The 16240-nt window shown below is 48.0% G+C and overlaps 1 protein-coding gene across 3 annotated transcripts; it reads right to left on the reverse strand.

Moving 5' to 3' along the window:
* Nucleotides 1-760: 760 nt before the first annotated feature.
* On the reverse strand, nt 761-13288 carry ANKRD60 (ankyrin repeat domain 60). 3 transcript variants are annotated; one of them, NM_001304369.2, is made up of 4 exons: nt 12859-13288; nt 7687-7817; nt 5973-6138; nt 761-3440 (listed from the first exon to the last, which is right to left on the reverse strand). In NM_001304369.2, the coding sequence occupies exons 1-4, from the start codon at nt 13286-13288 to the stop codon at nt 3130-3132; spliced, it is 1038 nt and encodes a 345-aa protein (NP_001291298.1). In that variant the 3' UTR covers nt 761-3129. The 3 variants fall into 3 exon arrangements, with proteins under 3 accessions (NP_001291298.1, XP_047295859.1, XP_047295858.1); XM_047439903.1 differs by lacking the exon at nt 761-3440 and adding an exon at nt 3649-4255; XM_047439902.1 differs by lacking the exon at nt 761-3440 and adding an exon at nt 4468-4753.
* Between the last annotated feature and the right edge of the window lie 2952 nt (nt 13289-16240).

The raw sequence follows: 16240 nt of genomic DNA on the forward strand, positions 1-16240 counted from the left end.
AGCAATGTCCCTGACAGTAACGAGGGGAGGAAGAAGACTCCGCCTTTATGTGGCCTCCAAGAAATCCAAGGATACACAATGGCATTTCCATGGGGCCACTAAGCTCAAAGGGTCAGATCATCAATTTTTTTGGTGATCAAAACTTGGGAGCCCAGGAAAGGCACCAAATGGGGGTCTCCTATCTCCCCTCTCACCAGTGTCAATAATTTCACCCATGACTTCAGCAAGATTTTCCAGTTGAACTCTGAGACCATAATAGTTGGCATCTACTGAGTGCTTCCCACCTCCCAGGCCTTCCCAGCAAGCTCAGTGACCAGGATTACCCTCCTTCCTCCTCTACAGAGGACTCTTGGCTCAGAGCAGTGGGGAATTCACCCAAGGCCACATGGCAGAGCCAGTAAGATGCAAGCCAAGATCTGTGCTGACCCCAAAGCCTGTATCCCCACCTCCGCACAGGCAGCTCTTCCCCTCTGGTGACTGCAAGCCCAGCCCTACCTGGGGATGCCAGACGAGGCAAAGGAACTGGATGTCAGGGCCTGGAAGACCAGAGGAAGCTCGTGTCTGCCCTACACAGAGCAGAGATGTGCCTGACCACCATGCCGGCCCACCTCCAGGGTCCAACAAAAATGCTTGAGATTGACCCCCCAACACACACTCAAAAAAAACTTTGTTGGCTCCCAAAATGTGGGGAAAAAAACCTTCAAAATAACGTTTAATGAAATATCTACAAAATGTAACATATCACCCAATGGCAACTCAATCCTTCTATGGCTCTGGATATATTTTATTTCGTAAGTGATACAGACTTGTTGAATATAAATAGAATGTCAGGATTGTCTAAAATGAAGCGCTCCCCAGGACCTACGAGTGTTCAGATGACCCTACCACAGACTGAGCAAAATGTCACCATGAAGAGTTTGGGACCTGCCCAATGTCTGGCCAAGTGCTTAATTGAATTGGGGGTAGATGAAGATAGAATGCTTGCCCCCAGAATTTTACATATAGGAGTCAAGCAGTTGGCTCTCCAAACAACGAAGGCAGCTGGGCAGAGCTCCTGGCAAATGCACAACTTTGAGTAATGCCACTTGTTAAGTTAAAAGAGTGCCTGCATCACCCCCCTAACACTTCATTAGCTAAATGGATTGCCCCATTGGGTTGGGGTTGCTTAATATCTGCCTATTGACTTTGCAGAACGTCTGCCAAGAACAAGATCTCAGTTTTGACATAGTTGATGCTGAGCTATTTTTTTCCTCGACTATTATTTGTCTAACAGAGTGCTGAGCTGGGTACAGCCACGTACACTGAGTGTAAAACCACATCATCAACACAGATCTTACTTGCTATGACAGCAGGAAATGCAGCCAGTTAATTTAAAAGCTGACTCCAGTTCTTGGGATGGAAGTGGGAAAGGGTGGCCAGGATACAGCGCCATTTCCCATTCCCAGGAAAACTGCAATGGTCACAAGACTACTGCCACACATTTTGATTCCAAAAGTTGCTTAGAAGGTAGAGCTTTAGAGAACATAAATGGTCTGTGGGAGGTGGGAGAGTGGACCCCACACGCCACCCAGTAAGACCCGTGGCTACTCCTTCACTGTGGCATCAGAGTCTTGGATTGCTCCAGAGAGATTTTGGTTGTTTCTATCACGTTTCTCCATGAAATGAATTAGAGTTTGACAGTGAGAGGCAGTCACATGGGTGTGCCCCACATCTTCTCACTCCTTTTGTAGCAGACCACGTTCTTCAAAAATTCAAGCCAAATTTTAAAAATCAAGAGAGATCTGGCCGGGTGTGGTGGCTCATGCCTGTAAATCCAACACTTTGGGAGGCCGAGGGGGGCAGATCATGAGGTCAGGAGTTCGAGACCAACCTGGCCAACGTGGTGAAACCCCATCTCTACTAAAAATACAAAAATTAGCCAGGCATGGTGGCAGGTGCCTGTAATCTTAGCTACTCAAGAGGCTGAGGCAGGAGAATCGCTTGAACCCAGGAGGCAGAGGTTGCAGTGAGCCGAGATGGCACCACTGCACTCCAGCCTGGGCAATAGAGCAAGACTCTGTCTCAAAAAAAGAAAAAAAAAAATCAAGGGAGATCCTTTCAAAAAGCCAGATTTCCAGGTCTGGAGAGTTCTAGAAAGATCTAGTGGCCTCTGCCTTTCATTTCTGCAGGAGTCAAGTCTCGGTGCTCTCTTCAGACAGCTGGCGCCATCCTTGTCTTTCCTTCTTATTTCCCACGCCCAGCTCACTCGTGCACTCGGCAGGCTGGGACCCTGTAGGAACACCAGGCACATCCTGCAATGCGGTATAAGGTTTTGCAATGCAAAGACCTGAGAGTTGAGCATAGACACTCCAAGGTGGTTTGCTCAAAGGAAAGAAGGAAGGGCTATCCCAGTGCTGGCAGGAAAAGGAGAACTCTGGCAAGAGGAGACTGCATGGACCACTGGAGATGGGACAAAAGAGAAAATGTGACCAGCCTGATTCTCATCTTCTTTTACACTGTTTCCTCCCCATCTAGCACCAACGTGTTACCTTTCAACAAGAGTAATAAGCCATCCCTTCTGGAGAGTGTGTGTGGACAGCCAAGCTCACCCAGCTTCCCTTCTGCCCCCGACTCAAGAAGCAGACCCCTCAAAGATGGCTCAGGAAACCTGGAACATTAGCTGTGGGAGCATTTAGTTCCATGGCTTTACAGACTGAAATTCACAGCCCACACTACACACGACCTCCTGACATTTGCTGGCACTTGTTTTATACAATAACAATAGTGCTATTATCATTATTGTTATTACTCCTATTATGCCAGTGCATTAGACGGTCCCCAGAAGGGAGAGAAGGTAATTGGCTCCCATCACCCTGAGCAGCGCTATTGGGTACAATGTGCAAATAGCTTAAAATTAAAGGCTGGCATTAGAGCCTGTTCAGTCTGTAATGGATTACTAAATGAGCACAGGCTTACCTACTGCCATCAACACCCTCCAGAAATCATTTGCAAACAGGACAGATAATTTCGTATCTGATTCAGGTTAATTGCCCTGTTTTCCTGCCTCCCTGCTCACCAAGGGCCCCCATGGGATTGAACTCTGCAAAGTTGCCCAAACCAGCCTCAGCGGGCAAACGTTCCCACCAGGAGCTAATGAGGGGTCATCGTCATCTTCTCAGACCTAAACCCAGACTTGACCCTCTGCAAAGCATTCTTCATGACCAAGTCATTCAGATCCCTTATCCCCGACTTTGCTATCCGGTGGAGGAGGACCATCTGCCTCTCGCTCAGTGTGTGGTTCAGGCGGTGTGCAATGGAGATGGGGGTCTCCCCCTTGGCATCTCTGTCGTGGATGGAGGCCCCGTGCTGGAGCAGGAGGATTATACAGTCTGACCGGCCCATAGCTGCAGCCACATGCAGGGGTGTCCTGCCCAGGGGGGATCTGCTGAGGCAGCTGGCTCCTGTAAAATAAGAACATTGGCCAGAAGGAAGACATGCGGAGGGGGAACACAGGAGGGGTCCAGGGCTGTGAAGGGAGTGCTCCTCAGGGAGGTCCTGCTGCCTGGCCCAGCTCCAGTACTGCCCTGCCCCCAGTCCACTCCCCTGGCAGCAGCCAGTGATCTTTCCAGAATGCCCATATCAAACTCCTGCTCAGATCCATCACTGCCATCCCACCGGCTGTGGGGTGATGTTCTAGGTCTTTCCCGCTCACTCTCACCCTACCTTCCCATTACTCTTCCAGCATTCCCTCCTGCCATACTCTCCTCCCCCACCCCACCACCAAGGCACCAATTATACCTACCTTCCACCTTCATCCCTAAAACACACCCTGCTCTGCATCCTGCCCCAGGCCCATTCACAACATTCTCACCCATTTTATTCTGGGCTAAATCTGACCTTTCTTTAGGTTTCATTTCTTTCCTTGGGAAAATCTTCCTTAGTTCTCCCACCCCATGAAACCTCCTGTGTAAGCTCAATAGACACTCTACATCTTCACAACACTGTGTACATCATTGACTATGGAATTATTTGTAATAATCTACTGACTTCCCCTCATAAACTCCAGGAGGGCAGAAAATACACACATCTGGCTTGTTGCTGTTCTCATCCCGAGCACATAGCTCAGTGCCTGCAGAAGACAGGCACTCAGGAAATGACGCAATGGGCAGCCTGACTCATGGACAGATTTCACTTCGATTAAATTCCCCACCGCCTCCTGCAGATGGATGGGCTAATGACAGGTGTCCAATATGGAGTTGTTGAATTGAATCAAATTCTGGATAACAAATATGACACAGAAAACAAGGCAATTCAATTAAATTCAGCTGACATTTCAGTAGCCAGTTTTTATGAGCTCCGGCTGGTTGGTGAGGTAAAGTTTTAAATAGGCTCTTAGAACACCAGTGTCGACCATGACACCTCCCCCCAGCAGCTGTCTGCAGAGGACAGAAAACTTTGCAAAGCTGGCTGTAATTTTTTAACTGGTGCCTTCAAATACATCACAGTTCTATCAGAGCAAAAATGACTTTTTATGAGCTTAAAGGACTGCTGGGCTGCGCAAAGCCCATATTTCATTTTACAACAAGCAAAGAGCAGACAGGCAGTGAAGGAAGGAAGGAGAATATTGTTGAGGTAACCTTTACCCATCACAGAGGTTTGTACACCCGATGCACGGCCCAATCATCCGGCCCAGGAAGTCCAAGATGTTTTCCACTTTGCTTGGTGTAAGTGGGAAAAATAGCAATGACTGAGCTGACAGAGGCTGGAGCCAAGGCTGTGAGTAGGAAAGAAAGGGGTCTAATTTGGAGGCAAGTTGATACAGGAGACCCATGGGAAAGGCCCCTCCTGAGCCCAAACCATTGACCAAACACCACGTAACATGTTCTCCCTTTTTCCAAGGAAGCTGGTGGTCTGGGCTGTTACAGCTGTTCTCCATTGTTCTTGAGGGTCTAGGCTGTTAACAGCTGTTCTCCATTGTTCTCCACTCCGCATTGAGTGGTCTGCATCTCCATCAATGGGCATCTTTTCCCAAAAATATCCCACATCCAGGGAGGATAGAGTGTACACCTATGGAATACTATGTAAAGCTCTTTAATTTGGAGACAATGTTGGCTAAGGCTTCTGTTTCTATCTATCAAGAGAGCCAGAGAGAGAGAGAGAGAGAGAGAGAGAGAGAGAGTGGAAGGAGGCCCTTAAGTGGAGGTGGGTTGAAAAGAGAGTTCAGCATGAATGTCTTGTGAGAAAATAATAACGAGGCTTGGAGAAGGGAGAATGGTGATCCTGCCATCCACCACAGAGCTGTGCTGGCTGGAAGGTGGACTATTTTGGGGTTTTTTCTAGTGTGTGTGTGTGTGTGTGTGTGTGTGTGTGTGTGTGTGTGTGTGTTGTAGTCTCCTATCTCAGCCTCCTGAGTAGCTGGGACTACAGGTACGTGCCACCACACCCAGCTAATTTTTGTATTTTTAGTAGAGACGGGGTTTCACCAGGCTGGTTGGCCAGGCTGGTTGTGAACTCCTGACCTCATGTGATCTGCCCGCCTCAGCCTTCCAAAGTGCTGAGATTACAGGCATGAGCCACCGTGCCTGGCCAGAGGCTAGACCATTTCGGACCATTGCAGCATCCTAATTTCATGCGAGGCTGGAAATCACACAGACAGCATGCGAATATTCCCAGCAATGTGTCTGGTGAGAAATGAACCAGGGATCCTTTATAGCTGCCGCCTGTGTCTTGGGTCCTGAAATTTCTGCCTCACTGAAGCAGAAAGAATCTTCTCGAGACCTGGTGAAGAGAAGGAGGGCAGCCTCTGACTGGCGTGCCCTAAGACACTTGCCTAGACAGGGAGTGAGTGGCACCATGGGGACCCTGACTGGTGGCTGACAAGACACAGGTCCAGGAAACCACTGCTGGAAGGACTGGGAACACAAGACACTCTGTCCTTTCTACCTGCAAAAAATCCCAACTCATGAATATAGCAAGCTTTCTACCAGAATTACCGTGTTCTAGAAGGTACTGCACAGCATCAAAGTGGCCTCTGTGTGAGGCCACATACAACGCCACAAACGCCCTCTGAGACGTCCAGTGCTTCCACTTCTCACCCTCAAAATGTTCTGAATTTGCGGTTCGGTAGAAGGAATCTTCAGTAAGCCCGAGACAAGATAGCTGGGCAAGACAAGAGGAGTTTGAGTTATTCTCAAAAGCGTGGCTACATTTTGCTGGACGGCTGATGGGGCATGCTCAGGGGAAGGCTTGCTTGAATGTCAAATTAAGGCTCATGATGGGAAAAGAGAGGTGCAAACCCTCATGAAAAGCTGAGAAACACCCAGGACAGCATGGGGAGGCCATGATTTAATGCTTTATATATGTTCAGGAAATACGAATTCGCCGTCAGTCAGGCTCGGAACACAGGAAGGTCTTCCTGTCAATGTTTTGAAGAGAGAAAATAGCTTTGCCAGGTGTCCACAGGAAGGTGGTTGAAGCCACTGAGGAAGACACCAGCCAATATAAATGGCCTCCCAGAGGGTGACAGTCATCTCTTGGAGACCGGATCTGGCTTTCCCGTCTATTTGTGTGCCCACTGTCTCCATTAGGTTTCAGAGCAAGCTGAACATGCACAGGTGAACAGCCCGGTCACGTAACCACCTCGTGGTGAATTAAGTCTTTGAGCCTGGGAGGAAGGCTACGGGTTCCCCCAGGGAGGATACTCTGCCCTGATATGGGAGTCAGGACTGGGGCAGTGGGAGGATCAGAATCGAGACGAGGATGATGGCAATTCTGACAGCCTCAAACAGCAGGGAGGTGACCCCTGCAGCCAGAGTAAGAGCCAGAAAACCAAGCATGGACCACACTGCTGGTGACAAAGGGCAGGGAGACAGAAGGGGCAGAGGAGAGTGTGGAGGAGGAGGAGCGGGAGGGACTAGGAGATGTGTCAGGGCTGGGACAGGGCCCCATCCTGCCTACCCTCCCTGCCAAGGCTGCCTCCTGCCGCACCTGCCCCGAGCCCACGCACTCTTCCAAGAGCGCCAATCCCAGCCCCTGCTACACCCAGCCTTCCCTGACCCCTTTCTGAGCAAAGAAACTCCATCTCTTCTTCTCCAGGAGCACATAGCTTTCCATCCGAATTTCTTTTCTAGGAAGAATATAGCATTGCCCCTCGTGTCACAGTGATTCATCTTCCCTGTTGGGTACACATCTGGTTTCTATCCTCCTGCCCCCCACTGCCCACCCCTAGAGCCCAGCTGAGAGGCCAGCAGGAGCCCTGGAGGACAGAGCGCCCGCCGCTCACCCCGGGAACGAGGGGCCTCTCCCTCCGGAACCAGGCAGCACCTGGCGGAGGCCTGTACCACAGCCCCGAGCTCTGAGCTGTACGCTTCTCAGTTATCTGGAGTTCTCCTCTCAGTATTAAATTAGATTTCCAACCTTATCACTTATAAACATGAATAGAAACGTGCTGCCTCGACTCCTTTGCGGGGAGGGGTGGGGCGGTAAGTGGGTTATAAATCACAAATCGATAAACCCAGCAAAATGGTAAACCCAAGGAGTGAAGGCAAACCCTCAGTGCGGTATTTCATAATTATGACACGGCTCATCGTTCTCTCTTCCCTGCTCTGAAACTGTTATTCACATATCCGTATTAAAGACTAATTTTCCCCCCACAATTTACGGTTGCTTCGTAACGTATAATATCCATTTAAAGAAGCTTGAAAACACCTTGCTGGGATCCCCTTCCACAGCCGCCAAAACAAGTTCTGTCCATCCGTCATGATGCCAGATACATAATGAAATAATCCCTCCAGGAACAACATCATGGAACTTCAGGGTAGTGTCATCCATCAAAACTCCTGCAGGGAAAAATTTTTTTTCTTTTAAAAAATTGGGTATTAAAGATAAACTACTACATTGGTTAAGTTAAGAGATTATCTGACCTTGAGTGCCACAAAGATAATTTTAGAAATATCGAATACAAATCTCATTTGATGGTGTCGCGTGGGTCTGTCTGTTGTTGGTAATGCTTTTCAGAAAATAAATTTGGTTCAGCTCAGATGGAAGCCGAACAAAATCACAATGCCAACGATTTATAAAATTCTGTAATTATAACTTGTCCTATTGTGAAAAGGCACATGAGTCAGTAAAGTCATTTTATGAGGCAAACTCTACAAATAGAATGACTTAAACCTGAAGTAACCAGTCATTAGACACACAGCACAATGTGGTTATACAAATCATATAGGGTAAACCAAAATACTCTTGGATAATGTCATTACCTGGCTAAAGAGGTGACAATGACAAAAAAAATGTTGGATCTTTCAAATTGAAGCGTGGGAGGGATTTTTCCACCTTGGCACTGCTGACAGTTTAGACTGGGTAACTCCTTGTGGCAGGGGCCCCTCCTCGTTGTCTGGTGTTCACAGCTTCCCGGCCTCTACCCACTAGATGCTAGCAGCACGTTCACCAAATCAAGACAATCAAACATGCCTCCAGGCCCAGCACAGTGGCTCACACCTGTCATCTCAGCACTTTGGGAGGCTGAGGTGGGCAGACTTTGAGCCCAGGAGTTCGAGACCAGCCTGGGCCACATGGCAAAAACCCGTCTCTACAAAAAATACAAAAATTATCTGGGCCCGATGGCTCACACCTGTGGTCCCAGCTACTCAGGAGGCTGAGGTGGGAGGATCACCTGAGCCTAGGAGACAGAGGTTGCAGTGAGCCAAGATTACACCACTGCATTCCAGCCTGGGCAATAGAGTGAAACCCTGTCTCCAAAAAAAAAAAAGGCTCCAGACATTACCAAATGGGCTCTGGGGGACAAAATCTCCCTAGCTAAGAGCCGACGTGATGTGAGGAGCTAATGCTGACATCCACCCCAATTTGGACTTGGAGTACCAGAGCTCCTTAGGCCTCATGCTTTCTTTATGAGCAATGCCACCAACATCGAGTCTCAGCTCCGCCCAGGTGACACAGTCTAGAGTCCAACTGAGTGGGATTCATGAGTTTTCTGGTTTCATGATTCATGGCTTTGTGCTTATGTACTAGGTACTTAGTGATTACTTGGTTCCCAGACCGAGTACCTATATTCTTTCATCCTTAGGACAGCCCTCCAAGGTAGGTTTGTTAACTCCATCTGCTGATGAGCAGACTGAGGCTCACATAGCCTGTGAACAGCCACCCCAGTGCTGGCACCAGACCTGCTTCCCTCCAGGGCCACTGACTTCTCACTCTTGGCTCTATGAGCACCAATTTGCTACCAGAAACTCAGGATGGTAGATGTCAAGAGGGAATAGTGATCAGCAAATCTGTTAATTAGTGTCCTATTTGTGGTTCAGACACAGAGGATAACCGGTAATTAGTCTAAGTAAGACAACTTGACTCCCTACAACTTTGAAAATATTGAGTAAAGCTGTGTTTTGCTGAGACGGGCAAGAGTAAAACTCCCACATGCTGAACAGCCCCTGTAGAGATCGGAGTACATTCTCTTTTTATAGACAGGCAGCCACTGCCTTGGACTTAGACAAATACTAATTATCACCAGCTAAATAAATTATCACAGTTGACAACAGACGTGTAAGGGCAACCCTGGCCCATGGATTTGCTCACCCCTTTTAGATTTGTGAAACTCAAGGTTTTCACACATGATCTCATTTGATCTCCCCCCGCCCCAAATTTTGAGGTGGGTAGGAGAGGCCTCAGAGGATTATTTATAGGCAGTAGCCCAAATTTCTTCTAATAATGAGTAGCACTTTCTGTCTTTCTTGTTTGCCACCCACAGCAAGGACTACAACAGCAGAGAGAGGTCGAGCTTCTAACAGTTGCTAAGTGCCTGTTGAGTGATAGCCCTGTGACATCAGTGTTAAGTCACCCCCTCTCTCGCGCTCCCTCTTAGCTCTCTTGGATTAATAGCCCCGCATAGCTCATCAGTGAAAACAAATGAACAGAAGGGGTGCCAGGCATTTGTAGTTGAGGATACATAATTTTCAAATTACTTGTTTGGGAACTCTTACTAAGTCCTTCAACAACTCTCCTCACTTTTAATATGTTAAATACAGAGTAGGCTCAAAACACATTTCTTTCCAAATAAAGCCTCAAAAATGCTCGAGAGCATCTTCCAAACACTCCTATAGGAAAATAAATACGTCAGGAAAAGTGCTTAACCTATTTTAAAGAGAGAAAAGGAAGGTATTTTGGCCTTCACTGTGCATTTTGAGTTTCCTGCGTCATTTCTGTCCAGAGGGGGAAACGGCTCCGAGAATTCCAGAGCTGGTTTCTCTGTGTTACGGATTAGGAAACTGAGCCCAGAAGGGCAGTGTCTGGCAGCACCAAGCCCGTGGAGGCAGGCTGCTTTCAGATCTGTCTCCATCGCTCCCCAGCCCCTGCAGTACAGCTGCAGTCTCTCTGCAATATCAGCTGTTCACATTCTCTGTGCAGCAGCAGCTCAGAGATTTTTTCTATATCTTCATTTTCTTGAAGTGTGTTGCGTTGATTTCAACCAGGTGGGGAGATGATGGAGCCCAGGGACTTTGATCCTGTTCTCATATCCTAAATATTGTAGGGAATCGGGATAGGGAAAGCCACGCCTTCGGGTCAGGGAAGGAGACTGATGGAAGGAGAGATGGGCTCTAGGGTGCCTGGCCTCCACTGGGTATCTGCCACATGGGACTTGTCTGGAGTGGGGCCCTTGGGGTCCTAATTCAGTCACAGGGAACTTTCGGTTCTGGGTTCTGATTCCAGCTGGGCTAGCTTTGAGCTCCCGATGTGAACAAGGACACAGCTTGGAATTTGGGGTTCTGATATGTACTGGGTTAGTTGCCACTATTTGGGGTTCAAACGTAGATAGCAGCATTTGCTTTGAGACTCGGGTTCCTGTGAGGGCAGTTTACTCTGGATTTGGGGTTCTGATTAAAGTAAGGTTTGCTGTCTGTTTGGGGTCCTGATGTGAAAAGGTCTGTTCTGGGATTTGGAGTCCTCGTATGGGCAGGACTTGTTTTGGGATGTGGGGATCTGATGTAGCCCCGAGTAGTGTAGCATTTGGAGGGTAGGAATCGAGCACATCTGCCCTGAGATTTGGGGGTCTTCATGGTGATAAAATCTGCTCAAAATTTGGGCTCCTGCTATATGCAGGGTTTGGTCTGGAATTTGGGGTTCTGGTATAAATAAGGTTGGCTGAAGGATTTGGGTTACATATACAAGAAAAGTTTGCTTTGAGTTTTGGGGTACTCATGGAGGCAAGGTTTTGTTTGAACCTTGACTTCCTGACATGGACATGGCCAGCTTCAACCTTGGAGTGCTGATGTAGACACGGTTTCGTATCTGGGGGTTCAGATATGTGTGGGTTTGACTTGAGCTTTGGGGTCCTGCTGTGGACAGAGTTTGCTTCATTCTTTGGAGCCCTTATGAAGATACTTTGAGGGGATTTGGGTTCTGGTATGGTCATGGTGAGCTCGGTGACTGCCTTTTAGATGTGAGCAGAGTTAGCTTTGAATTTTGGGGTCCATATGTGGGCAGGGTTCATTTTGGGCTCTGTCATCCTTATGTAGACAGAAGTGGCTAATGGATTGGGGTTCAGATGCACAAATGGTTAGTTGGAGGCCGGGGGTCCAGAATTGGGCAATTGAGGGTCATGACGTGGGTAGAGTCTGCTCTGGGATTTAGGGTTCTGTTATGGCCAGGCATAGCTTCAGGGTTTGAGGCTGAAACATGGGCAGAAGTTGCATAGAGATATATGGGGTCTTGAGGCAGGCAGCGTTTGTTTCGGATCTTGGCATCCTTGTGTGGACATGGTTGTGGAGGATTCGGGGTTCTAATAGTCACATAATTAGTCTGGCAATTTGGGATTTCAGATTTAGCCAGGTTTGTTCTTGGTTTTGGGGTCCTAAACTGGACAGAGTTTGTTTCAGCTTTGACCTCTTTGCCTGGACACAGTTGTTGAAGGATCTGGGGTTCTGAGGTAGTCATGGTTAGCCTGGAGATTAGGGGTTGAGTCTTGGGCTGGTTTGTTGATTTTGGGGTCCTGAGATGGACAGGGTTTGTTTTGATTTGGCATCCTTGCAAGACAAAAGTGGCTGGAAAATCTGGGGTTCTGAGGTAGTCATGGGTAGCCTGGAGATTTGGGGTTCAGTTGGGCATGTGTGCTCTGGATTTTGGGGTCCTGAGGTGGTCAAGGTTTGTTCAAGCCCTGGCATCCTGGGGGGGATGTGGTAGCTGGAGGATTTGGGGTTCTGAAGTAGTCATGGTTAGCCTAGAGATTTGGGGTTCGGTGTTGGGCAATTTTATTCTGGATTTGTGGGTCCTGAGGTCAGCAGGGTTTGTTTCAGGTTTGGCATGCTTGCGTGGACATGGTTGGCTAGAGGATTTGGGGTTCTAATGTTCTCAAGACCAGCATGGAGGAGGACTTGGGGTTTGCTTTGAGTTTGGGGTACTGACATGGGCAGGCTTGCCTTGGGTTTGGGGGTTCTGCTGAGGACAGGCCTTGTTTCAGACAAGTCTTACATGAACAGAGTTGGCTTTGGGACCTGGGTTCCTTATGAAGACATGGGGAGCCTGAGGGTCTGGCTTCTGGGGGGTCCTGGCTTGGACAGGATTTGCTCAGGGTTGGCAGATGCAGCCCGATCCAGGCAGGACCTGCTTGTGGATTAGGGTCCTGCTGTGGACAAGGTTTGCCTTGATTGGGAGTCCAATTTGAACGCCGTGTGTTTGAGATTGGGAAGTCCCTCTGTGGCCAGGACCCTAAGTGGCCCTTCCATCTGGGTTTCAGGGTGGTTGGGTTTCAGGGGTTTGCTTTGACATCTGGGGTTTCTCACGTAAGCAGGCTTCCCTTTGGGAATCCACTTCAGAAGTGGACAGGGTGCCCTTGCATGTGGCCAGGGAAGGAGTCAGGGCAGGAGCCACCTTCGTCGAGGTACTGGAGCCGCTGGAGGTTGAAGGGGATGCCGACCATCAGGTCCAGCTCCTCTTTGAGCTCCCGCACGGTCATGTCGCCGCGGCAGTTTGCCACTCGGAACATCTCCCCCGTCTCCTCCAGCCGCACCCGCAGGACGAAGACGTCAGGGGCCAAGTCGGGCAAGGCACTCGCGGCCTTCGGGTCACAGACGAGCCGCTGGCTCCGGCCGCGGGCACAGGCCAGGGGCTGCGCGGGGAGGGCCCGCGAGTCCGCCGAGCCCACCCTGGGCCCGCCGCACCCCTGAGCCCCGGCCCGCGCACCGCTCCTGCGTCCCGCATTGGGGTGCAGGCGAGAGGCGCCCCCAGTTGGCCCCGCCGCCCGCGCTCCGCCCGCCCCCGCCGCCGCCCGCCGCATCCCCCAGGCGCGGCCGCGCGTCATCCGCGGCTCGAGTGCGGTGGCCACGCGTCATCGCCGCCCCCGCCCTGACGCCCCAAGGCGGGCCCATGCGCCCCCCGCCCCACTGTGACGCCCAGGCCCCGCCAGGACCGCCCCCTCCAGACGCAAGGCGAGGCCCCTCCCTGCCTGCCGCCCGAGCCTCCAGGGAGACCGATGGGCGGGCGGCCCCCCAAGGTCCCGCAGTCCTTTCCCGCTCCGCGATGAACAAAGCCGCAGTTTCACGCGGCCGCGGGAGACGGTTCTTAAATAATGGAACAGGACATAAGTGCTTCCCAGAGCAACCGGGAGATTTATTGATAAATACAGAGACATCGCCGGGCAGCCACGCTCCGACAACCCGCACTGGGCCCCCGTCCCGAGCTCAGGCCACGTCCCCACCTCCTCGAAGCCTCCAAGCTGCTGTTAATGTCAGTTCTTTTCACCAGGCAAACGGAAGGGGCATTCTTGCTGCTGTTAGGAAACGGTTACCACTTCTCCGTGTCTGTTTAAAATAGGATCTTTGCATAAATTGGGATAAATCACCTGGAGGAATTACACGTAAACAAGGCTGTAAATCACCATTGCATGCATGGCCTGCAGAGTTGTAAAGTGCAGATTTTCGTTATAAAAACACTTCTAGTATGAATGAAAAAAAAAAAAAACCACCAACATTTCATAAACATGACTCCCTGCAGCCGATCTGGTCCCGACATGGGGGTGGATCCCAGAAGCGGGAGACAGCCTTCCACGGAAACTTGCAAAACTGCACCAAAATCTATCAATTTTGAAAATGCTCTTGAATTCTTGGCGGAAGAAAGATGCTGATAAACACATTAAGTGGGGAAATGCTCCCTTGAGAAAGGCTGGGTTGGCTCTATGAAGACACCTTTGGAGTGAGCTGTGCCTGGGAGAAACCCATCTGTGCTTTTCCCTTCATTCACCGGAGATGAGGCTGAGTGTTCAAGTAAACAGGAAGCTTACCTGTGGTGGTCAAATTACAAACACTCAACATGGCACCCATGAATAATTAGAAAATACAAGCGCCGAAGTGACGGGGGCGGGAGCTAGGAGGGCGAGGGGAAACAGAACAATCTTGGAAAAATCTCGGTTGTTGCAAAAAAAGAATAAAATGTATGCTTAAAAATTATTTTTACAGAGAAATTACAGCCATAAAAAATATCTGTGCATTGGAAAGGCACTCATATTATAGAAAAATGTTAACATATAAACGGAAATTGTAAAGGTTAGATTATTTACCAAAGAGTCTCTACAATCTCTCCAAGCATGTTGTGATTCAGCATGCAAATTATACACATCACAACACAAACTGAAGCTCATTTTTTTCCTTAACGGAAAATTAAGCTCTGAATAGAATACAAGATTCCAGTTGAATAATTCTACTTGCTGCTAGATCAACAGATTTTAACAAAACAATCTCAATTTGCGGGCAATAAAAAAAAATTAAAAATTGCTGGTTACCAAAGCAAAACAATATCTCCATTTACTTTAGGCAAGAATTAAACACACGACGGATTGACTGATTTTTTTTTTAATATGTAGCTTCTGATTTATTAACTCACTTTTTGCCGACGCTGCCTAAATGCTACCCTGGGGTATAATTTGCAATTCTCACATAGGTACCTTATTATTATTTTGGCGTGGTGTATATACGCCTATCTTTCTTTTAAAAGAATCAGTTAAATGGAATTTGGAGGTGGAAGTCACATCCTCTATACTAGAAAATTCAATACATAGCTTCAAGAATTTCATTTAAAAATAAAGACAAGACAAACAAGAAAAAGACCAAAGGGCAGAATAGAAATAGCTTACAAGCCCTTAGCAGAGCTAGCTCTTGAACCCCAAATGGGCTGTTTCCTCCTTCCTTCCCTTATCCTACCTTTGAGAACATAAAAATAGAAACACGAAAAATGACATGTGCATACATGTAAGTAAAATTTGTTCAAATGGTTAGAAAATCTTAAATTACTGATTTAAAAAACCTGGTTAAATTCTAGAGCATCTTTCTCTTAGTCTAAATTTGAAACGCATGAAATCTAAGCGGTGTGTACTTAAGTCAATTTGAAGAGTATATAATTTGACCCCCAAAGTCACAGGTGCGTAGAACTTGTGGGCAGGTTATGATCAGAACTAGGTTTTCCTTTTTTTGGTTAAGATTCTAAAGCATTAGATATAAAGTCAATATCCATGCATCTCAGTTATCAATTTCCCTCCCAAGTTTAAACATATAGCATATCCATATAAAAATGGAAAAACCTCAGTTATCCATTTCCCTCTCAAGTTCTTAAACATATGACAGCATATCCATATAAAAATGAAAAATCTTTCAGCTTTATGCCTCTATCAAAGGCCAACACATATCTTCATGGAAACAGTTCCTGTCAGGCAGGGAGGAGTGAGTGCCTGAGGAAAAGTTCCAAGTAGTTTATAACAAAGGCACAATATTAGAAAGACTGCCATCAATCATTCTTTAGATTTCTTTATCACATTTTTCAAAAATAAACAAATCGAACCATATTTGTAGCAACTCAAAGTGCAGCATAGATTTAAATGATGTATTTGTTCAGCTCACTGATAGGGGGCAAATACTACATTAATATATTTTCTTCCTGTCAAGAGTTATTTACATATGTACAGTATTTCAGTTAAAAATATAACACCATAAACTATATTTTATAGGAAATCATAAGGGAAGGAAATATGCAGGTCTATTAAAGACTTAAGAGCTTCTAATAAACTACTTTACTTGGAGAGGGTTGGGGGGACTTCAGATCATACAGTCTGCCATGGAGAAAAGAACTTGCTGGCAGACAGCCTGATGGTTCAGAGGCTCCAGTGCCCAGTTAGCCACCTGGTCTGCAATCTTTCCACAGACTTACTGATCAGGCTTGATCAGGATGGCCCAGCCATCCAGAAAAAGCCCCCATCAGGTTCAGT

Source organism: Homo sapiens, chromosome 20 (genome assembly GCF_000001405.40).
Source record: "Homo sapiens chromosome 20, GRCh38.p14 Primary Assembly".
Taxonomy (NCBI): Eukaryota; Metazoa; Chordata; class Mammalia; order Primates; family Hominidae; genus Homo; species Homo sapiens.